General features: G+C 41.2%; 1 long non-coding RNA gene across 1 annotated transcript, besides 4 other annotated features; it reads right to left on the bottom strand.

Annotated features, from left to right (window-relative positions):
- Positions 1-372: 372 nt before the first annotated feature.
- LOC145845 (uncharacterized) lies at positions 373-22,463 on the bottom strand. Its single transcript, NR_024264.1, has 7 exons — positions 22,351-22,463; positions 18,260-18,462; positions 17,427-17,598; positions 15,692-15,793; positions 12,290-12,386; positions 4,674-4,769; positions 373-2,576 (listed from the first exon to the last, which is right to left on the bottom strand). It is a non-coding gene; the product is annotated as an uncharacterized LOC145845 (long non-coding RNA).
- Positions 13,604-14,381: an enhancer, noted in NCBI's record as "H3K4me1 hESC enhancer chr15:37169875-37170652 (GRCh37/hg19 assembly coordinates)". NCBI's record gives its function as "activates a minimal SCP1, AML or CMV promoter by ChIP-STARR-seq in naive H9 embryonic stem cells {active_cell/tissue: H9 hESC(naive)}" and the evidence as "EXISTENCE:reporter gene assay evidence [ECO:0000049][PMID:30033119]".
- Positions 14,382-15,159: an enhancer, noted in NCBI's record as "H3K4me1 hESC enhancer chr15:37170653-37171430 (GRCh37/hg19 assembly coordinates)". NCBI's record gives its function as "activates a minimal SCP1, AML or CMV promoter by ChIP-STARR-seq in naive H9 embryonic stem cells {active_cell/tissue: H9 hESC(naive)}" and the evidence as "EXISTENCE:reporter gene assay evidence [ECO:0000049][PMID:30033119]".
- Positions 16,372-16,933: an enhancer, noted in NCBI's record as "H3K4me1 hESC enhancer chr15:37172643-37173204 (GRCh37/hg19 assembly coordinates)". NCBI's record gives its function as "activates a minimal SCP1, AML or CMV promoter by ChIP-STARR-seq in naive H9 embryonic stem cells {active_cell/tissue: H9 hESC(naive)}" and the evidence as "EXISTENCE:reporter gene assay evidence [ECO:0000049][PMID:30033119]".
- Positions 17,405-17,975: an enhancer, noted in NCBI's record as "NANOG hESC enhancer chr15:37173676-37174246 (GRCh37/hg19 assembly coordinates)". NCBI's record gives its function as "activates a minimal SCP1, AML or CMV promoter by ChIP-STARR-seq in naive H9 embryonic stem cells {active_cell/tissue: H9 hESC(naive)}" and the evidence as "EXISTENCE:reporter gene assay evidence [ECO:0000049][PMID:30033119]".
- Positions 22,464-23,980: the final 1,517 nt, after the last annotated feature.

Here is a 23,980-nt window from a genome sequence, read left to right on the forward strand (position 1 = left end):
GATTCTTAATGTATAGGGGATTCCAGTGTTTGAGATTACTGCCTGGATTTGCAATCCATTTCATAAAATGTTGAACAAGAAACAACAGCTTCCTCCCTCTTCAAACAATCAGTATTACTATCTTACTCAGTTTTTACTACAGCAGAATACCAGTGAGATCAGCCATTTACTAAAAAATATTTCATAAAACAGCTCAAACTAAAAATGAAGTCAGATAAAAAGTAAACTAAAATAAATGGTGAGCTTGCTATTTAAGCTGCTTAACAACTTGAATTAATCTAACTTTAAACTTCGTCTTGCTATTATCTTAAGTTGATTGAATGTACTAGTTAGAGTTTTCTAAGATCCAGATAGACCAGTAACTAATTGCTTAATTTCTTCAAAGCAACTTGAACTTTTAATAAATAATCATAATAAGTTACAGCAACCATTTATTCTCTGCTATATGCTAGATATTTTACTTGACTTATTTTTAATCTTTACTGTAACACATCTAGGCAAAATATTAATATACCTATTTTACAAAAAAGGAAACACACTCAGCAATTTTTAGGGACCCAGGAGCCAGAATTCCATTTCTTCCAATTTCCTTCAATGTGTTCACGATGTATCAAGTAACTCGTTCATTTAGTCAAGCAACCATTTTAGCTGATTTAGTCACCGATTCAACTAATAACATTTACTCATTGTCTTAGATTTGGGAGGCATAGCTTGATAGCTGCAAGGATTATGTTAAATGTCAGTGAAATAATGGAATGTGGATTGGCTCATTTCATCTTAAAGATCCTGCTCACAGGGCACCAAACATTAAACTAGTTTTAATAATTAAATTGATAGACATTTCCTGGAGCAAGAAGCTGTGGCTACATTCTGTAAGTTTGTTGGGTAATACAAAACATTGTGTGGGTGTGCAAAAATCAAGCACACACTGCTAATGAAATCATTATGATCAAGGCTGAAGAGGCTTCACAAAAGAAAAACAAAGCGTCGTTGAGTTACTGATCTGTCCAAGAACAGGATTGAACCAAAGTGGGGTGACCATTCTGTGACCTTACTTACTGTACCTTTTGTTGACCACGAGTAGATAGACCAAAAAGCTACCCTGTGTTGAAGATGACATTCCTTGTCCCCATTTCCTAATGGCAAAATTTTTCACTCAAGTCATAGAACAAGAAGTCTAATGTTACCATTTAGGAATGGCATATCTCTTTAAGCCCTTCTCAGTGGCTTTTATGGCAATGAAGAAACCAAACAGCACATTTTCCTTGCCATCTTACACGCTGTTTTTAGTCTTTATCTGGCAGCATGCCTAGAGTATAAGGGTTTGTCTCTAGATAGATCTTTAAGTCTTTCTCCTTGCCATTTACCATCACTCAAATACTCTCATTATCAGTGGATATCTTAAACTCTGGGTTACACCTCCTTTTTATTCTACTTCCAGAAGTAGAGCTTCTAAAACTGGTGCTTCTATTAATTATACCACTCAGCTGATCATTTGTCTGTCCCTAAAGACGGAGTTGAAAAGACAACAATTTCGGAAAGAAAAGGAAAGGTAAATAATCCAAAGATAGTTTTTATGTACAAAACAGCATTACCTCTACTTAATATAGCATAAAATTTAATGCTCTACAAAGGAGTCTAAGTTCCTAAAAGTAAAATTATTTGCATATTTCAATATTAGATTCCTTATTTTGCTTACACAATTTTACACAGGCCTCTCAGATAGTTGCAGTGTCTTTAATCTCATGTTTTCCTTCATGATACTCTCTCTAACGAACATCCCATAAGTTTCTCACTCTGCAATATTTCCATTTCTAGTTCTTCCAATTTTTCTAAGGCACAAGTATAGAAAAAAATGCTTAAAGGAAACTTAATAAGAGTTACCATATTTCTGTTAAGTTTCCTGACGACATGTTAATGTATATATGGGGAAATAATTTATATAGATGAAAGGGAGAAATCATATATTTCCATTATCCTTGACAGTATCATGAAGGGCTTCAAGAAGTAAGTGGCATTTGAGTTGACTCTTAAACTTGGTTCAGTGGTGGACCAAGACATTCCTTGTTTAATAATAAGATGAGTAAAGTCACGGGAGAAGAAAAGTGAATGGGTTATCGGTGGCCTGCTGAGTTCTCTGGTGGGATTTGAGTATCAGTGTATCTGATATAACTATATCTGATATAACTCACTTTTTTGCTCAAACAAGCCTTAATCAACTAATCAATGCCTTGGTAAGATGGCATAATTCATCCAGTCTCTCCATCCAGTCTCACTCTTACATGTGCTACCTGAGCTGCTACAGCTTTACAGCCACAAATCAGTCACTATGTTGATATTCAACCACAGAACTTTCCAAAGTAAACCTAAATGAAAAGGTGAGCTGCCTCACTTTCTTCTAGTCTGGAAAGAGAGTTGGCCTTAGACACAAACACCTGGAGGCTAAGTGGCTGGCAGCCAGGAAGAGATGGCAGGAATGGAGACAGATGTCATCTGGGATGCCCATTCTGGGATTCACCCATGACAGTTCCCACTGCTTTTTCTTTTTCTAGCTCCTCCTCCTTCTTGTTCTCTCCCTAAGAGAAGAAAAAAGATTAAAGAAGATATTTGTCCATCTGAAAATAAACTAGCTTTTTCTCTCCACTACTGCTCCTACAGAGGTTCTGTAGGACACAGAAGCCAACTGCATCTAGTTTGATGGAATGTTATGCTGCTGAGCACACAGAGGAATACATTACAGAAAAATTCATTTTGCATGGTAAGAACTGGCCATGGGCTGTGTCCATTGAAGTGATGTGTCATAAATCTAGTGGCATGTGGCATTTCACATCATGGAATACTCCCCACATCATTGCCAGAATTTCTGGTGCAGCTAGCTTGAATATTTCCTGTCTACTCCATTCCTACTTCTAATGCCTGGTGACTGAAATGAGGTTCTCTATCACCTCTTACTTGAAACACTGCAAGAATATCTCAACTGATGATGATGGTGATGATGATAGCTAACTTTCGTTGAGAGCTTTCGATGGGTCAGGCTTTTTTTCTTTTCTGCACATTCATCTTTTAAGAACTTTTACTTTGAAATAATTACAAATGTACAAAAAAGTTGCAAGAAGTATGCAGAACTCCTGTACAACTTTTTTTCCCAGATTCACCAATTTTTACATAAGTTTGCAATATTTGCTTTAGTATTCTCGTTCTCTTCTTCTCCATATTTTTCCTAAGCAATTAAGAGAGTTAGTTGTATAGATAATGCTACTTTACTCATTTACCTTTCAGTGTATATTTTCTTCAGTGTATAAATGTAGTACAGTCACCAAATTGAGAAAATTAACATTGATACTTTTTCTAATCTCAAGTCCATATTCGAATTTCATCTATTTCCCTGATAATGTCCTTTATAGCAAATTTGTCCACTACAGAATCCAGACTAGGATCATAAATCACAGTTTTCATGTCTCTTTGGTCTTCTTTAAGGTGGAATCTTTACTTGGCCTTTCCTTTGAAGCATACAGGCCAGATATTTTATAGACTGTCTCTCAATATGGATTTGTGTGATGTGTCACGTGACTACATTCAGGTTGTGCGTTTAGGGCTGGAGGACCAAGAAGTGAGAATGTGTTCTTTTCACAGTGTCACATTGGAGGCACATCGTCTTTATTGGTGATGTTAGTTTAGATCACTTGGATAAGGTATTGTCTGTTTTCTTCTCTGCATAGTTAATTTTTTCCTACTGTAATAAATAATCTATGATGAGATACTGCAATATCATATAAATATCCTGTTCTTCATCAACTTTGCTCCACTAAATTTAGCATCCATTGATGATTCATGCCTGAATCAATTTCTTTCTGTGATGTTGCAAAATGAGGATTTTCTTTTTTTCTTTTCTTTTCTTTTCTTTTTTTGAGACAGGGTCTCGCTCTGTCACCCAGACTGGAGTGCAGTGGCACAAACATGGCTCACTGCAGCCTTGACCTCCTGAGCTCAAACTATCCTCCCCGCTCAGACTCCTGAGTAGCTGGGACTACATGTGCACCCAGCTAATTTTTTTTTTTTTTTTGAGACAGAGTATCACTCTGTCAGCCAGGCTGGAGTGCACTGGCAAGATCTCGGCTCACTGAAACCTCCACCTCCTGAGCTCAAGCAATTCTTTGACCTCAGCTTCCTGAGCAGCTGGGATTACAGGCATGTGCCACCACACCCAGCTAATTTTCTTGTATTTTTAGTAGAGGCAGGGGTTTCACCATGTTGGCCAGGCTGGTCTTGAACTCCTGACCTCCGGTAATCCACCCGCCTCAGCCTCCCAAAGTGCTGGGATTACAGGCATGAGCCACTGTGCCCGGCCACATCCCGCTAATTTTGTGTGTGTGTGTGTGTGTGTGTTTTTCTTGTTTTTTTTTTTTTTTTTTTTTTTGCAGAGACAGGGTTTCACCATGTTGCCCAGGCTCGGGAAATGGTGATTTTTTTTAAACTTCATTATTCCCTCTATATTAGCTGGCTTACTACTGTAAAAGCAAGAGCTTTCTCTTCTTATTTATTTATCTATTTATTATTATAGACTCACGGATTCCTGTTCTTTTTTTTTTGGATTCCTGTTCTATTCAGTAGACAATAATCCATTACTTCCTTATTTATTTTGATGGAAGCCTCTTCAAGCTGGCTTCATGTACCTTTTGACAGGCCTTCATATTTTTGGGAGCACTTCCTCACTTTCAGGCACTGAAGATATTCCAAGCTCATAACTTTTCCTGCTCCAGCCATGAAATCTGTAGGGTATATTTTAAACACTTTATAAATAAATAATTTCCCAATAAACCTACAGGATATGTACTATTAGCATTCCCATTATACAGATGAAGGGATTAAGACACAGAAAGGTTAAATAAATACTCCTAAGTCATAGCCTTATTAAATGGTGAAGTCAAATTGTTATTGCCTCCAATCTTGTGCCCACTCTCACTCCCCAGCCCCAGCCAAATTTATTCTCCACAAAGTTAACAGAATGATGGATCTCAAATGCAAACACTGAATCTCTACCACGCAGCAATACCTTAGTACCTGGTATTCACGCATTAACTACTTGTTGAAGTGAATTGGTTTAAACTGACAAAGAACTAATGAATAAATCATATTCCCACTTTCTCCTTTGCCATCTTTCAGTTATCTGGCCCAAGGATCATAAAAGAAATTCCTAGAATGAAATGGGAAGAGAAAGTGAGGATGTTGTCATACCTTTTAGGACTGACGTAAAGATCCCTCTTTTGATATCTGTCACTATGGCCAGTCTGGATCTACTTATCCCCTCTGCATAGAAGAGGAAACTTCCACCTCTCCATCTGAAATGCTGATGTAACAATCTCTCATTATACTCTCCTACATTCTCCTAACTCTGAGAACCTTTAGCTTCTTTTCTCCAAGAAAATATATAGCCCTTATGTCCCTAAATTTACACTCAGCCTGTCACCCACTTTGTGTCTTCATTTCCTTCTTTATCTAACTTAGACCCAATGGTTTATTAGCTCAAATACTCCCAAACATGTAGTCTTAACTTCCAAACTCTTGTTACCCTGCAAACTCTCAGATCTAGAAGAACCCAAGCATCTCACTCCCTCACTGAAATTGCTGAGCACTTTTGGAGAAAATTACACAATGATATGGATGGTTGGCACCACAAATCTCCCTTGGCAAGGTTCAGCAATCTTATGACCTGATCTTGATCAGCTCCCTCTCCTATTCCCCTCAACAATGATTTTAAGCTTTTGCCTCTCTCTTTATGGCCTTTCCCTACCATCCCCTTTCTCTGAGTGCCTCCTACAACTGGGAGAAAATCCAGTGTATCAAGCAGCATCCACATTATTTTCTCAGCCCCACACCACCATTTAATCCATATGTATGCCTGCCTTTACTTTCCTCTTTATGTCTCATTGAGGAGGTGACTTTTAACTTTTATAGAACTTAGCTTATGCTCTAAATCCCAGCCTCTCCTACAACCCTCTAATATTCTTTCATTAATTTCTTTTCTCTTTTTCTATATCGTTAATCTCCATTAATTTATGTCTTCTATTTTATTGCTTTATCTTTAAATATATAAGCTCAGTTCTTTCATCTTAGAAAGCAAAACATGCCCTGATCCTACATCTTCCCTTTATCTACTGTCATATTGCTTTTTTTCCATGACTAAGATTCTTCAAATTAGTTTACACCCACTGCCTTCACTTTCTCACCTCCCTTTTGTTCCTAACCCACTTCAATCTTCATCTACCCATGCCTTGCCACTGAAACTGCCTTCTCTGAAGTCATCCATGACCTCTTAGTTGCTAAATCCAATGGGCATTTTTCAGGCCTTATATTTTTTGACTTCTCCCTCCCTCCCTTCATCTTCTTTTACCTTCAAAAATATTGGTTAGACATTGGGGATACCATAGTGAACCCAAGATACCAGACCTTGTCACCATGGAACACATAGTCTAGCTGGGGAAACAGACATTAAACCAATCATGACATAATTAACTATTAATGAAGTATAACTGTGATAATGATGCAAAGAAAATTTAAATGTTATTATGAGAATAGAGAATGTAGCTTAATCTAGAGGGGAAATGGTCAAGAAAAATTCTCCTGCAGAAGTGGCATTTAAACTGAGATCTGAGAAATGAATAGCAGTTAGCTAAGTTACAGATGGGGGACAGTGGAGGAAAGAAGAACCTTCCAGACCGAGGAAACAGAATGTGCAAAAGCTCTGAGGTAGGACGAGGCTATACTATTTGAACAATGTAATGGTGGACAACATGACTGGATTAAAGAGAATAAGGGGATTCCAGATGGGGCTGAAGATCGGGGGACAGAAGTGAAATCAGTCAAGGCCTTAGAACATTTTAAGAAATGTGGACTTTATCTTAAGAATGGTGGTGGGTTTCCATCAAAGGATTTTGAATAGGAATATGAAGAGATCAGATTTGGCTCCAGAACCCCCAATGGTGAAGTCCAAATAAAACTAGGGTGGTGGCAGCTGAAACAGAGAGAAACATATGGGTTAAAGATGCATTTAGGGGCATAATTATTAGGCCTTGGAAATTTATTGGATTTGATACCACTTGTGGAGGCATTGGGGATGAAGAAAAGAAAAATAAATATCAAGGATAAAACCCAATCTCTAGCACAAGCAACTGGGTGGATGGTAATACCATTTACCAAGACAGTGAACACAGGAGAAGGTGTTTCCTCAGGGGTGAAGATCACGAGTTTAGGGTGCCTCTTGACCTATAGAGATGTCTACTGGAGAACTGAATGTATAGGTCTAAAGCTCAAATGTAGGTTCTAGGCCAAAAATAGAAAACTGGGGAATCGTCAGCCAATGAAGGGTAACTGAAGCCAAAGGACTCTATAAGATTGACTGTGGGGAAATGGAAGAGTGAAGAGGGAGAAGTCACATGTCTACTCAGTCACACATACCCTCTGACCTCCAGCCAGGCTTAACTACCAGTTTTCTGTATGGCCTTATCTTTCTCTCTTTTTTGTTTTTGTTTGTTTGTTTGTTTCTTTACACATACTATTTCCTCCTGTCATGCCTTTCTCCTCACCTCTGCCTTAATTCTTATTTATTCCTCAAGACAGTTCAGGTGCCAGTTCCTCTACAAAGCTTTTCCTTCTCTTCCCCTGGTCACGTAGTTGCCTCCCATTCATTAGATGTTGCTTCTATCAGGTCTTATAATTCCCCAAAGATATCTGTAAAATAGCAGTTATTACACTGTAATGTAATGTTAGTCACCCTGCTAGACTGTAAATGTCTTGAACACAGAACTCTACTTATATCTCATTGAGTCTCAGGGCCTAGCACAGGGCCAGGCACATAATATTTCTCAATGTGTACTTGAAAGGAAGCAAAAAGATTCTTCTAGGAAAAGTTTCCTATGTGAGTCATAGAATTCCTGACTATTAAAGCCAGAATGGACCTTGGATATTTTCTACTCCAACCTATTTTGCAGGTGAGGAAACTGAGGCCCAATTACAGAGCTAATAAGTGGGAAACAATATTTAGAATCCAGTTTTCCTGGCTCTCAGCATAGTGGTCTTCCCATTACCTAATAACCAACAAACCCATTGAGTAAGCTATTTACTCAATGACTTGCCCATGAAAATGTATGCTGTGTGGGTCTTTTTCAAACATGGAATATTAAATGATAACTATACAGATGCGAATATACAAGCAATTAAAGTGACCTACACAATATAGAACAAATGGAGAATCTAAACTAACAGAAGTGTTGAATTCTTATATGATTAATAAAAGTAGAAGATGTTAAAATTTTATGAATTGTTCACATGAGGTCCTGTCTAAGCTTAGGGGTAGGGGTGGTATAGGATGTTAACTATCCCATTAACAATAATAACTGGTATTTATTGACTGCTCACCATGAGCCAAGTACTAGGATAAATTTCATCATTCATTAATTCCTTTGGTGAGCATGTGAAAGCCCTATGAGAAGTTTGGAAGTGTGAGTTTGCCTAGGGTCGTGTAGCTGATGAGAGGCTGAGCCAGCATTGCGACCCAGACTGTCTGACTGTAAAGTGATGTGTGAAGCTGCTGAGCTCTCCTGCCTTCATTATTTAAACCTGTGTGTACTCCCTCCACTTAGGCAGCTCTGGTTGCCACCTTCTTCTCTTTGCCAGTCTCTTTTAAAAAGGTTAAAAGGGGAAGAGTTGTCCAAAGTCATCCCTAGTTGACAGAAAATAAGTGAAATAAACTATTCTCTCTTTCCCAACCATCTACTTGGATCTGAAAAAAATATTTAAATGAAAAGATAAAAATGTGTTACACATTCATAAGCTAGGTTCCATTATATTTGGTTTTTTATTAAAAAAAAGAATATATCATGGTGCCCTTTCTATTTGTCTGTGTTTCCCTGTAGTTTTTGGTGTTGGTGCTCTTGGATTATAAACTCTAGATGGCAGTGATTAAGTTAAAGTTTTGTGCGGTCTCTGGACCATGGTATGTATATTGCATAATACATAATAAACACTATTTGTAATTATAATAAGGGTGAGTCTGGAAGCGGTAAACAAGGGTATAAAATACATCTTCCTTATGGTTATTATTCCATTTATATGAGAAGTCCACTAAATTCACTGAACCATATCAGGCCACATCTGTTTGAAAACCTACCAGTTTTTACGAACATTAAATAAAACTGGTTAGACTTAATGACCATTTATCATATTCATACAAAAATCATGAAATGGAAACTTAGCAGAGAGGAGGCCATTGATAAAGAAAAAAAGTTTTAAACACCAACAGGTTTGATATATTATTTTTTATATTTAAAAAAGTCAAGTATCGGCTATTTTTGCTCCAGAACTTTCTGTAATTGGCGGGTCTTTTACTTTTGCTGTTGTTTTCTTTCTTGCCTGAGTATTAACCTAAGTAGCATAGATTCAGAAAACATGCCCAAAATATTTATACATGTATTTTCTCATGAAAGTTAGATATTTGAACCTTAAGAGAAATAGCTTGGATGAAAAATTTTACCACAGGGAGAAACAGCAAACAGCCTTAAACAGAATCAAGATAAAGCTGGGGGAGGTGTTGGCTGGGAAGAGGGGGAGGTGACAGGAAATGAAAAAAGTTCTCCCAGTTTCATTTTATAGGTGAAGTAGATTCTACTTGGATTAGACCTTCTAAGTGACTATGACAGAGGGTAAAGAGAGGTGGAAAGGAAACTTTGAGTGACGTTTCTGACAGCAGGCTACAGAAATAACAATTTGACAGAAGGGGCCATCATAAATATAAGAACATCTCAGGCATGAATAGGACTTCTTAATGTAAAAAATATGGAGCATGTGTAGGATTCAATTTGGGGTGAAGAGAAGAGCCAGGTGGGAAGGTTACCTAGAAGCCAGCTATTAGTGTTGAAGTCAAGGAACTCTGGTATCCATTTAAATATTCCTGGTGAACATTTTTTGGAGATTTTGAAGTATCTTTCTCAGTTATTCCTATTTATATCTAGTTCTAGCTTGATTGACTGAGCTGACGTGTAACCAATAAATAGAGAAGTTTGGTATTTCTATAAATACAAAGTTTGTTTTTGTGCCAATACTGGCATCTATTTATCCTGCAGGTAGATGATAGATCTCGTTTTTGCCTAATTAAAACAGACATCACAGATCAAGAACAGATCTTCATGTCAGCAAACAGACCAATCACTCTCTTCTTGTTATTTAATAAGAGTTTCATTATCAATGTGCTGGAAGGAAAAATATTAGTAAAAATTCTGCATATAGTATTATAAATACTACTGTATTATAGAGGGCAGAAAATGGGAAAGCACCATATAATAAGAAAAATTGGCCTGAAGTTAAAAGCTTTGGGATGTTGTCAAAAACCAGAGCTAACTAGTTTTATGAATTGGACTAGTCAGTTGCCATCATTAGGCCTCCAATTCTTTGCTGGAATGATAAGAGAAGTTGTCCAAATTATTCCTAAAGTCCACCATTCAGCTCTGAAACTCATGACAAGTAAATATTCTATTTTGAATTTTCATTAGGTTAAGGATTTAACAATAAGCTGAAACAGGATGACTAACCCATAACATGTTCCAGAAAAATACGAAATGACATGTTGAAGAGCATTTAAATTGAACAAAACAGATTTGTGTGTGTGCCACTATTGATATACAAATGTTGAATGTGTTTTACTGTATCTACTGAATGTGATTGATAGGAGAGGCATCAATTTCAAGGTTTGTGAATTTAAGTAAATTGTTGTCAGTGGTATAGCTTCTTAAAAAAATTATATCTTTACAGTGAACAGACAAATTGAGACAGGATATACATAAAGCATCAATTTAGCACAAATATCCACTTACAATTGTGAAATATATATATATATGTAGTTGGGAGTTTTTCAGAAAATTTGAGGAGCATTTTTTAAATTGCTTATGCTTTTTAGAATGCTTAGCATTTCTGTTTTGAAAACAACTTGTCTTCCTTTTCAAAATGTATGTGCGAAGCTGGCTCTGATGTCAGAATGAACCATTTTCACAGGATTGGGTCAGCTCCCACTCAACATTTCTTTTACAGAAAAGAAGCCGGTGATGAGGCAGTATTTGAGCTCGTTAAATCTCAAACCCCCAGCGTCTTTTCCAAAGCACTACAAAACTCTTACATGTATAATCACGAGGAGGAAAAGAAGAGAATATAGTTTGTCTTTAACTAAATTATTAAATCCTTGTTTTGACCCTTTCCTTTCTACCTTGATGCTTTCTGCCTCCACCTTTCATTTAAATTTCCTCACTTTGGGATGAAAAAGCATGAGTAAGTGTGGTGCATAAAAAGGAAAACAAGCAAATAAATAGAAAACTTGTCTTTTCATCTCTCCCATTGCTGCTTTCTTTTCCCTCTCATTTCTCTCTGCATCGAACTTCAATTGTGTCTATTTAAATCCTTCCTATACCCAGGATATTTTAGGTTTCCAATATTTTTAAACGGAATAAAAATAGTTTAAAAAATGTTAAATGCATGTCACAAATATTTTACAGAAAAACTTGCTTTGAAACATAAGTGAATATCAAGTCGGGAAAATAAAAGTTTTCTTCACAAAATCTATAAGTGTCTTCCTTCACTTTAAAAGGTTTTTAAAGCTTATGAAGGAAGCCACTGGAAGCAAGTTCATGTTTAGCAAGACTAGCCAAAAAAAGAAAAAGAAAAGAAAAAGAAAGAAAATAAACTGATTTAATGGGAGCCCACCCTGGGTCTAATTTCAAAGTTTCCATTTATGTCATGTCAGATTTGGGGAGACTGAACCCTCATTGAATGCACTGGGCTGACTCTCTCCCATGCCTGATACCCAGGGTTCATGACTGCAGTTCCTGGCACAGTCATAAATATTCATACCTAGACTAATAATTTGCAAGCCAAATTCATTTGGCTTTTTTCACCTCATCAATCTTATAATTAATAAGGGTGGTGCTCTTGTTTCACTTTCCTCCAAAAGAAAAGATAAATGAAATAAAGAGTCATCCTGTAAATTTAAATAGGAGTGCCTCTCACTGATTAAAAGCTGATGCTATCATATAATGGTGGAAGGGGAGGCTTCAGCTATTTCTCTCACTGGTGGCTGGGGCGAGGTGAGGAGGTGGTGATGGGTAATGCAAAGGAAGCATTTCCAGATGTGGCAGCATGAGCCTTAATCTGAAGAGTTTGGTTATCTATTAAATAATGCATAGGAGAACGTTGAGATATTATGTTAGAAAAGAGTTGTAGGATATATATTTACAAATTGCACTCTTACCTAGTATTTTGATAGATGGACACTTAATGTAGCTGGACATTGAATGTAGCATGCCAATATCCAGAGAATTGGATTCTGAACAGCCTGCAGTTTCTGCCTGCAGTTTAGAAATTTAGACATATTTTAGAAAATTGTTAAAATTTGCTGATCTTTGAGTCTTCAAAGTAACTGCCTTTGAATTAGTATGATAGCTGTGTTCCTAAATCTAATTGGAAAGACATGGTTTCCTCAAAAACATTAAAGGAGGTATATATATATCACAAAATAATTTTACAAATAAATCACAGTACATACGACACAATGTAAATTGTCTGCTCCTATTGGATTTTCTAAGATCTTTTATAGCAAAGCAGGAGAATCAAATTGAACATAATTTTGAAATAAAAGTTTGATAATTGAGTTAAGCAGCTTGATCTTGTCAATCACCTGTGACCTTAATCTATTTACACTTCATTTAAACATTCAAAAAGTCCCAAGGCTCATGGATAAGCTTCAAAGTATGAACAACGGTCTTCACTCTGTTTTGGTGGGCAATATCAACCCTTTTGAGCAGATTATTTAATCTGTTTTAAAATTAAGAGACCTGGATAAATAAAGAAGCAGGAAAAGCTTAACTCTGCAGTTAGGTATTCACTTCTAACTTCTTTGAGGGTAACTTACTTTAAAGATGTGATTATCTGTTATTTTTGTGTATTGGTTAGTTAGCTTTAAGAACTGTTGATACTTGAGCTATTCCTGAGACCCACCTAATTTATGTAAAGGCAATGGAAGGGGATACTGGGCACTCTTCATATTCTTTATCTTTAAAGCTTGTATTTAATTGTTTCATTCTTTAAAAACCGACTGTGTTCAGGGCAGTCCCTCTTTAAACATGTCTAAGTGCATTTGCACAAAAGATATATTTTACTTCTTAATTCTATGTGAATGCAATTACACATGTGATTTACTGCAAAAAAAAAAAAAAAAAAAAGAAAAGAAAAGAAAAGAAAGAAAGAAAGAAAGAAGGAAAAAGAAAAACTGCTTTCCTCCGCTGACCTTTAAAAGAGGAGGGTAAATGAGAGAGAGAGAAGCAATACTGACTGACTGGGCCTCCTAGTGTTTCCCCGACCTGGTCTAGTCAGCGGCTTCCGGGATGAGAATGGTCTGAGATCCTAGAGGCCGTGGTGATCTGGGTAAGTGGCACAGGTGGGGACCCCAAGGCGCCTTTACAAGGAGTTCTCAGCTGGTGGGGGAGCTCCGTCCAGGTTTCTTGTAGAGGTGTGGAGGGGGCTAAGAGGGAACTATCTTGTCCTCACCCTCTGTCGAACCCTTCTCAACTTTGCTTGGCTGAGGGGGATCATCTTGGAAAACTCACGGTTAGGTAATAAAGTCTCTTTCCTCTCCTACTACTTTTCAAAAGCAAAATTAGACCCACTTAGAGCTTGTGGGTGTTTCTGGGTCCTTGCTATTGATCTCCCGGGTCACCAAAACAACTCAGCAGCTCCTGCAGGTGTGTCCTCCGAAGGCATGGGAAGAGAGATCTAGGAATGGCAGAGGCGCAGTGGGAGAGAAAGAGAGAGAGGGGAGAGGGGAGAGAGGAGAGAGACTGGCTCTGTCACCCTTTCTCCTGCATTCTAAATCTGGCTTGAGAGAGAGGAGAGAGAGAGGACAGAGGAGAGAGACTGGCTCTGACAGTCACTCGTTCTCCTGCATTCCAAATCTGCTTTTGGAGCCAGAGGCAGCCCTCCATCCTGGTGCCACCCAAATGCTAGACTGCTAGATTGGGCTGGGCCTGAGCACTGCCGAGCGAGCTTCTCTGCGGGCTGAGCGCTTCAGGAGTTCGACGCGGCCGTCCTCGGCGCAGACTTTCTCGCCGGCGGACGTGGGCTCTGGTGCAGTCACACTGTGGCAGCTCGGAGGCGCCCGCCCTACGCTGCTTCTCCAGGTCCTGAGAGTCGTGGGGTCCTGAAGACTGGATCTCTTCCTAACTCCATTCCCAAAAGCCCGCGAAGAGCGTGGGGGAGGGGGAAAGTGAAAAGCACCCTTCACCTCACCCAACCCCCACACCCTCTGTGAGAGGTGGCACTGCAAGGCCCACAGACGGGAGGAGCCTTGCTCCCTGGCCTGCTGCACCCCAGCTTCCTGTCTCGGGGGAGCCAGCTGTGCTCCTCCTCAGCCGGTGGGGGCGGGGGGGGGAACCGAGGGGGGTTTGCAAATGGATTTTTGCTTGTTTTAACGTTCTTCCCTTTTTTGTGTGAATCCAGCTGCTGTGGAGGCGGGCGCGGGCGGCGGGGTAGGAAGGACTGGGATAGGATCGGGTCAGGGAAGAGGAGACAGCAATTACAGAGCTTTGTGGATGTTTGTGAGCACACGTGCCTAGGTCACCGCATGCGTGTTTGTGTGTGTGTGTGTGTGTGTGTGTCTGTGTGTGTGTGTGATGGGGTGGGGGAGAAAGAAAGAGAATGTACAAAGCTAAGGAACCCTAGACCAAATCAGTTTGTGGAGCTCAGAGACACGCATCAAACCCAGCTACTGTCGCCTCACCTAGGGGTCTGGAATAGACACACCTATTGCTTGGGGTTCATTTAACCCTTTTTGTGCCTCAGTCCCAAGAACTTTCTTTGTTTTCCAGCACCGGGGAGAGAGGCTGTCGGGAAGAGTGGGGCTGGAGTGGCCGGGCAGAGGTTCACACTAGAGAGCTGGGCTCAGGGGTGCTGGGCTCTAGGGTGCTGGCTCAGCTGCCAGTGCTCACTCCTCTGGCCAGGCGGCCTGCCCTGTCTCCAACTCTTTCGTCCAGGTGAGAATGAAGGGCTTTCTTTGCATCGATTTGGGTTTTCTGTAAGAAGGGAAATTATGAGTTGTGATATTTTTATTTTTTAAAATGACGCCTGCTTGAGATTCTGTTCACCTGGCAAAGTGAAGAGTTTGAAGCTGAGAAGAGTTTGAACAAATGAAGCTGAGAAGACTTTGGACAACGCCAAATAAATACTGTGAATGATAACTTGTGTTAAGGCTAAAACTTTTGCACAGTGATGGGCACTGGCTCATTACTGGGATAGAAATAGCCCTCACAATACATTGTCTATGTATGTACACAGTGTCCTCAGTATCTTCAACATCCCAATTCTCTTGGGTTTCAAAAGGTGATTGGGCTGACACAGTCCAAGAGCCTACTTCTGTGTGTGTTTCAGAGAAATACTTTGGATTAAATGGATCAGCATGAAATACACAAAGACAAGCAAAATAGAGGAGGGGGAGAGGAAATTAACATTAATTCTGAGAGAGGTGAGGAGAAAGGGGAACAGGGAGAAAGAGAGGGAGAGGAGGAGCAGGAGGGAGGGAGGAAGAGAGAGATTTTTCACACGTGCAGACCAAGGGCTTTGAAGCCTTCGACCCTGACCCCCAAACCCAAGTGCATCTCACAAAACAGGTTCGGCTCATATTTCAGGCGGTCTCCTGGCCAGGCGTCCGCGGTCCCCGGGGCCTTAATTCACTCCTGCCCTCTCTGCACAATGACTTTCGAACCTGGGAAAATAATTGCATTAGAGCAGATTACTTATCCGTCTTTTTCTGTTCGACAGAAGTCTATTAAACTCAACACAGCCATTACCAGCTGAGCTCTAGAGCGCGCCTTCATTAAGAAAATTAAAATCATACTTTTGAACCTAAGCAACGCCTGCGCAGGTCTCAGGAGTCCGCGTCAAATCCCTGTATTTTCGAGAACTCGATTTTTCCGCGAATCAATGTCTGCTTTTTGGATACCGTAGATCAGGGTGTAAAGATTGAGTGTGATGACAATTTCTCGGAAGATAGGGACGTCTGAGCTCTGGAAGTACCATCTCTCTTCTCTATCCCTACCCCCTCCTCCAGCCGCCTCCTTTCCTGGCGTGGCTCTTTTCCCGGGAGCTTTCCAGTTAGAGGCTGCACACCTGTCCGGGCGTGTCCCGGGATTTGGGTAGCAGGTGGGGGCGGCTGAGGCGACATGGAGGGGATGGCGGGTTCAGGGCCTGGGAACCCCGGGGGTGAACTTCCTCAGGTGACGTCTGCGGCCGGAGGCCCGCACCGAGTGCACGTGTTTCACACACGCGCGCGCGCACACACGCACCAGAGCGCGGCGAGGAGACTGTCCCCCTCCATTGCGTTTCACAGCGGCTCCGGGACCAGTGTGGCCTGTGAGCCTTTTGTCCATCCGGGCGTGGGAGCCTGGCCTGGGAACAGGGCAGGCCGTTGCGTATGCCTCGGACCGGGAGCTTCGGTCCCTTTGGCGGGGTCTTTGGCCTCTAGGGGCCTATCTGGGTTTCCTTCTTGGTTTGGTAAGAGCAGCAGTAGCGCCAGGTACGCCTTGGAGACTGTAGGCGGAATCGCTCCAGCTCCTGCTCTCTCCCGCGCCCCAGCCCCGGGCGGAGGGAACAGGTGGGAACCGCGGGCTGGAAGGAGGGAGACGTCCCCTACCTCCACTCCGGAAGCCTCGGGGTAACGTCTCCCATTGCTCTAGCGGAGTTCAGATCTCCAATTCCAGTTTCAACTGGAACCCTCACCGGGTCTGTCTGCTCAGTTAGGAGGGGGTGCGTTTGCATTGATTTTTTGTGGCATCTGGAAATTTGCGGTGTTTCAGGAATAAATTTTAGCATGTTTTTCTTTTCTGTTAGCCACTGCCCTCCGTTTCTGCATTTTGTTTTTTAAAATATTAATGACTGTGTATGTCTCTGAAAGGTCCACCCAACTCAGGACTCTAAAGGAAACATAACGGCTTTTGCACATTTTGGGGGCGTCTTTCCTTAGGGGTCTAGGAGCAGAGAGGTGCTGCTTCCATTTTTGTCAGAATGCTCAGTCATAGAGTTCTCACCCCCTCTTTCTGTCTAATACGGCTTTGGGGGGTTTGTGAGGGGAAAATAGCACCCCCTCCTCCTCCCTATCAGCACTCAAATACAGGATTAGGTGGAGTTACCTGAAAGTGTATATATTGTTCCTTGGCAAGTGTTTAATTCTCTTTCTCTCCATTTCTATCTGGTACAAATGCCTACAAAACTCCATTGACGAAACTCAACAAATAGATGTGGACAAGAGAACATCTTTTACATCTCCACAGCTTTCAACTCGCTAATTGGTGAATATTAAAAATATTTTTCCAGGAAAAAAGAAAAACAAACAAACACACCTACACTGCTGTTGCTCGTGTTTTCTTCTCACCAAAGGTAGACACATCATTGGATTTCTTTTTCCTTTGTAGCAAAAGATGAGGAAATCAGAAATGAACCGCAGCCTTTTAACAGTAGCAATTCCAAGACTTTTGAAACAGTTTTCTTTGCTTCTGTTTTCCCTTCTTTGCCCTTAAAGCAAAACAAAAACAAAGACAAAAAAGGAAGAAACATCATTCTTAGTGAAGAGTTTATTTTGTTGCCACAATAAAGGGATGGGGGCAGTTAACAGCTACTTGAGATGGTAATGCTTAGTGATCCCATTCTTTTACTCATAATCTTCAAGTGGTTTAAGATTAATGGCAAGGGGTGTTTTCCGTCTCTTCCTAAGGACCTTCACATTAATTTACTTAGAACATTGACCAGACTGTCAATGTCTCCAAATTTCATTAAGTCAAACAGAGACAATACAATGAGATGATCATATTTCCTTTATATGTGAGAGAAATATTTTTATTTGGATTCAACTGCTATGAGGGACACCCCCTTTCTTGTCTTTATTATTTTGTTTTCTTTGTACAGATATGTAGATAGCTATATATAGATATTTTGTATATATACCCACATACGTATATACATATATATTTGAATAGACTCATATGGTCTGCAGATAACTTCCCTTCCACTTCTGAGCTTAACGAGGACCTTTCAAACAGTCAACCCCCGTTGCAGGCAGTAGATTCTGCTTCCCCAGAGCAGGATTTATATTTAAAATCAGTTTGAACCCAATGGACTTCCTCAAAACAGACCCCCCAAAATGATAACAGCTTGGAGTATCAATATTTAACTTTACCTCAATTGTCACACAATAGCCCCAGCAAATCTTCAAACACAATCAGACTGAGGCATCACTTCACTGGCCTGAAGACCGGGTTGTCTCCCACCTCTGCCTTGCCCTAGGAGCGCTGGTTCTAGGGAGTCACCGGGGTCCCTGTCCCCTCCCTGAGTGTCTCCAAAGATGGGAATGGGGGTTGGAGAAGGGGTGACACAGGGCTTCTGGGAAGAAGCGAAAGAGGAGAATGGATTTTTAAACCAGAAAGTCCTGCTACTCTGGCAAGAAATTAAAGTCCAGAGACACACCTTTCCCTTGCTGTCCTCCCTGCCCGTGTTCCTTCCCCCGCGCCTCATTTCTGAGCACTGTTTTAACAAAATCCCAAAATCCGGTACTTTGGAAAGCAAAACCAAAAACTCCCTCAGAAACAAAAGTCGTTCCGCGGTGTAGATTGACACTCGTTATGTGGGGGTCTGGTTGCGGTTGGAAGACTTATCCGAGTCAGGGCTGCATTGCCAGCGCCTTTCCCAAGAGTGGAGGTTGGCGGTGCAGGCGGTGCGGCTGCCAGCCTGAGATTGTTCCGGCTCTCGTTACCTGTGCGCCCTCGCGTTACATGGTGCTCATAAATCCCGCGGCAGATTAACTGGGAAACCAAGAAAATGCCTCTATGCACCGAACCGTTGAAAAAGAACCAAAATTCTCTCAAATAGTAGCAGTCTCACACCTTGCATTGGACGTGAAACACTATAGTAAGATCAAATGTCAAAGACATCGGTTATTTTGGTGCACTTCAGCTACCTTTTCCGTTTCCAGCAAAATTGAGAAGTACGACCCCAAAAAGAATAGACACACCCATGGAAAAGACGTGTGTGTGTGTGTGTGTGTGTGTGTGTGTGTGTGTGTGTGTGTAGCTATGGTGACAACTTTTAAACACTTTTTCTGCTTAAAAAAAAAGATTCGGACAGGGTCTGGTATTGCTTTGCGTTGCAGGAAAGGGTCATTCTGGACAAGGAACCGTCTGAATTCCGAAAGCTATCCCTCAAGACTTTTCTAAACAGTGCGAGTTTCCTGGGAGTTTAATTTTGTGAGGATGCAAAATATTGCTTTGTATTGGCCTCTTTCCCCATCAGATATCCATTTTTAAAACGTCTACAGCATCTATTAAAAACATTTCCTTGGACTCGGAATCTGCAGTTCTGCAGGAAAAACAAACTGTAGCGAAAACGCAGAGAATACAGAGATGTAGAAAAAGGAAAGGTGTCCTCTGCCAAGGCTTTTGATAGTTTATTCCCCAGAGGCCAAGCGAAGGTGGGGGGGTTCCTTCGCATTTTATTATTATTATTATTATCATTTATTCATTTAAATGTTCAGTCCTTGACAAGGTATTCCCCTGCCGCGGGGTTTTGCTGGAGAATGGACGTGGGGGCGGTGGAAGGAGTCAGTGAAAGGTGGGGTGCGCAGAAAAACAAGATTCGCTTCGCAGGGGGCTGACCCGCAGCGTTCTGCTCTAATTGCCAGCAGGGGGCGCTCTGATGTTAGCTCTGGACTAGACAGCAGAGCCACTCTGTGCTTGCAAGACAGGCTTGGCAGTTTCACGCAGCTGCAAAAGGAAAGGGAGGGGGGATTGTAGTTCCTAAATCCTCAACAGCTATTCCACTTGGGTTATTTACCCTCGGTTCGAAATGCTTCTACGTCTCACTTTACCTACCCATCCCGCTTATAGTGCATCCCGTTCCCCATCCACCTCTTTCTTTTCATCGGCATCTACGCACCACATGTATAATCTCTCTCTCTCTCGCCTTGAAATATACATTAATGCAACTTATTAAATGCGACGATGAATAGTCAACATTTTTTTCGCCTGTTGGTTCCGCTGATCCAAGCAGGATTTATTTGCAGATCTCACGTCCAGGAGCCATAATGCATGATTTTTTTTTTTCCTTAAATAAAATTGGTCAAATGTTGACAACCTTTGAGCCAATCTAACACTCAAGATTAGTGATGGGAAACTAATGAGAAAATATCAGATCGCCCAGCCTGAGGGCTGCCAATTAAATCTTCGCTGATTGAAAAATAAAAGCGGACTTGGGGTGTGAGCCCAGCTCAACTTCATCTATTAATTTAACATGTTACCGGGTTTATGCCTTCTCTTCTCTAAACAGCTTCCCGTAATACAGCTTTCTCCTCTTCATCCCTCAACCTAAAAGCCAAGTGTTATTTCTCAGAATATTTCAAGTGGTCCAAATCTGGATGATCATTTCTTACATGGTAAATATTAGGCCTTTAAGCAATATGATTTAACTAATTAGAAAATTTACATCATTAAGTCTCAGGGAGAGAAAAAAAAAGAGAAACAAATCTGCCAGTCATTTTAAAGGAGACAGGCACTATTGAAGTGTGAAGAAATCGGCTCTAATTCAAAAAGGCAATCGGGCAGAAAAAGCCCTCAACATTACCCTGCTAGTTATTAATCAGAAAGGGCTCTCTCCTCCCCACACCTCCTCCCTTCTAAGCACTGAGTTTAAGTTCGTTTTTTTGTCAGTGGCCCATGTCATATTTATATTGAGGTTTTGTCTGCTAAAGGATTAAAATTTGAAAATGTTTCAATAAGAGGCAAACAGAATCCTCAAAGCGAAAAATATCCACAGAATCACCTCTCTTCCAGACAAGTAAACTTGTAATAAACAATTCTCACGCCCCTCTTATTTTTTTTAATTCTTTCGTCTTTCTTCCCATTAAGTTCCTATTTTGAAACCTGCTTGGTGAGAACTAGATAAAGTCTTTGTGTTCTGCCCCCCTCCCCCTCCTTTCTTGCATCTCCTCCCTCCTCCAAAGCGAGAAACTTAGACTGAAAGCAGAAAAGTACAAATACATTAACAAAGCCCCACTCACTTGATAAAAAGGCCATGGTCTAGGCTTACATGTCAGGAATCTAAGGGAAGGGGGCTCCGTTGGTGGGTCTACAGACAGAAGGTGATGAACTAGAAATTTCCCCCACCTATGTGTACTATTCAATATAGTGTGTGGTTAGAGAAAAAGGAAGGCAGGTGGGTGAGAATTATTTTAAAGTGTATTGTGGTGTTGTGTGGCTTTTTCTTTCTTCTCCTCTTTTCTATTCAGCTTAAAACAGCAGCCTCATTATATCTAGGTGCCCCTTCCCATCATACTCTTACTTAAGCCCTTGGTACACCACACACATCGCCTTTTCCCTAGTCTTCTCATTCCCAGCAAATTAACAGAAGAAGGAACTGCAAAAGGAACTTTGTGAGTAGTTCCATTTGGAAACCCAGGCCCTTCCTGGCATCTCTGAGGATTTGTTCTTAAACGGATATTGGCCTCAAAAAATGTAATAGCAAGCCTTAGATATTCAATTTCCCTTCATTATTATTTCTTCTTAAATTATAAAGAGGTCCCAAAGGCTCATTTTTCTGCCTTGTCCTATTCTTCTCTAATTATGTTCCCTCCTGGCCTCATTTTCTTCTCCTCCTCTCTGCCTTACTTTCTTAAAGTTTCACTACCTTGCTTCCCATCAAGTCTCTGGGCCTTAGAATTCTCAAGTCTTTGGGCTTCTGCTGACCTTGAACAGCTCCCAGCATTAATTCAATGCCATATTCCTGGTTACCAGATTTCAACTTTGCAGGAGAGAGCAGTAGCAGACCTGGGCTATTAACACACCACAGTTAATTCTCTGCGGGAACTTTTACTAGGTGGGACTTGTGGAAGGAGAAAACGTCTGTAAACAGTGCATGCTCCTGAGGGTGGGGAATGATTTCTGATATAGAAGCCAGAACACATAAAATATGGCCATATTGGTGAAAGAGCCAGTTCCGAGTTAGCATTTGGTTAAATAAGGAGAGGGAAGAGAACAGGGGGACCCTGGGAAGAGTTTAGAATGCTCCCCAAATGCAGCTCCTTTTCTGACCATTAAAGAGCAGATGTGAGTCGAACGTGCTCCCCTTTGAGAAAGATTAGAGTAAAATGGACCCCTCCGTCACTTTCAGGAGGCAGGACACAGGGAGGTGAAAATATACAAGACAATGGCCTCTGGCGCTGGTGGGCTTCCTTGGCGGGCTCCCCACCTTTTGCCCCGTCCCTCTTACAACCCTTCTTACCTTTGTTGCTTCAATTTGATATGAAACCATGGGATGTTCCTGGGCTAGGTTCCTCGAGAGGAAAAAGACCACGAGAATCAACCCGTCTCCTGCATCTACTCCGAAGTCAAGAGCATTACAATACAATTTACAGCGCCTTTAACAACTCGCAAGTAAAGCATTAAAATTCGCTTTAATTGAGAAAATATTGATTTTTAAGTCTAGAAAAAGCGAAATCGTAATTTAGCTTCAAACTTTCAGGCGAGAATATAGCGTATTATGTCGCCGTATAATGGATCCACCCTTTCCGCCCATGCAACATCACATCTTTAATTGCTCTACTTTATGAAGTGATAAAGACAAAAGATAACCCGACTTAGGCAAACGCTTTTTAAAAAGAGGACCTAGAGGAATTTCTTTTACCAGATACTTGTAGAAAGAATTATCTCCTTTTTTGAAGCAGAAAAAAAAAAAATGCCCAAAGGGGAGGAAAGAAATAAAAAAGAAAAACCACAGACTAGTCTGAAAGCAACTCACATTAGCAAATCCGTTGACATGCTCTACCAAAGGAGGGATGAAGCCAACATTTAGAGAAAATGCATTCACGGACAGAATTGCATCCTCCTTTAAACGAAACAAACCTGGGTCTATTTTCTTACTTTACTCCTCCGTCCTTTTTTGGGGTGGGGTGGGGGGCGAGGGGAGTCAGAGGGGGCAGAATCCATTGGTGGACAGGGAAGGGAAAGAAAATCAGGCTTTCTATGTTATTTCTGTATCGGTTTTTGGTATTATAGAGGAGTAAAGAAGTTTTTGTGTGATGGTTTTTCATTGATCAGTCACTCTGAGCTAATGTAATTATCCTCATCAATAGGAGGCTGCAGAGAGAATCATTATGTGGGTGACATTGATAAATGATCGCCCAGGAACGGCCCTCTCGCGGGCAACCCCCACGTCTGACCCTCCCACACACACAATGTAGTCATAGAAACACCTAGAGAACCTCGAGCCCCGCCGCGGAAGAGGCAGGAGAGGGAAGAAAAGCCTCGGGCGGCCGAGGTGGGGGTGGGGGCGAAAGGGGACGGCCAGCCCCAGATCCAAACCAGTTCCAACGACAAAAACAGCCAGCGGCGGGGGGCGAGGGGAGAGGGACGGTCTCCCCACCCGGCGGCCAACCCTCCCGCGCACAGTTGCTCACAACAAAGTGAAAATCCGCCCTCCAGACGGACCCATTCCTCCACACCTTTTCCCATGTGTGACCTCACTACCAACAACATCTGATGTTTGACGAGACACATATTCAAAGGGGTCTCTCCAAAGGAGTTAAATAATTAGGTCACAAAACTTGTAGGCATCTAATTCTCACGCGAGTTTACCCCGCTCCCCAAACACCAAACAAACCAACCAACCAAACCCATCTGAAAGAAAACAAAGGCAGCATCTGGGCGACACCCCCCTTCCTGCGTTCCCCCCAGTTATTTACTGGGTGACCCCGTCCTTTCTCTTCACCTCCTCACCCAGCGCCTCGGATTATGAGATAATGGATTTTGCGATTGTTCTTGTCAGGGAAAAAAATCTCCACAGAACCCCACGTTTTCATCTTTCAACTGTTTTATTTAAGCCAATGGGAAGGTATTGAGGGCAGTAATTGATT

The sequence above is a fragment of the Homo sapiens genome, chromosome 15 (genome assembly GCF_000001405.40).
Source record: "Homo sapiens chromosome 15, GRCh38.p14 Primary Assembly".
In the NCBI taxonomy this organism is placed as follows: domain Eukaryota; kingdom Metazoa; phylum Chordata; class Mammalia; order Primates; family Hominidae; genus Homo; species Homo sapiens.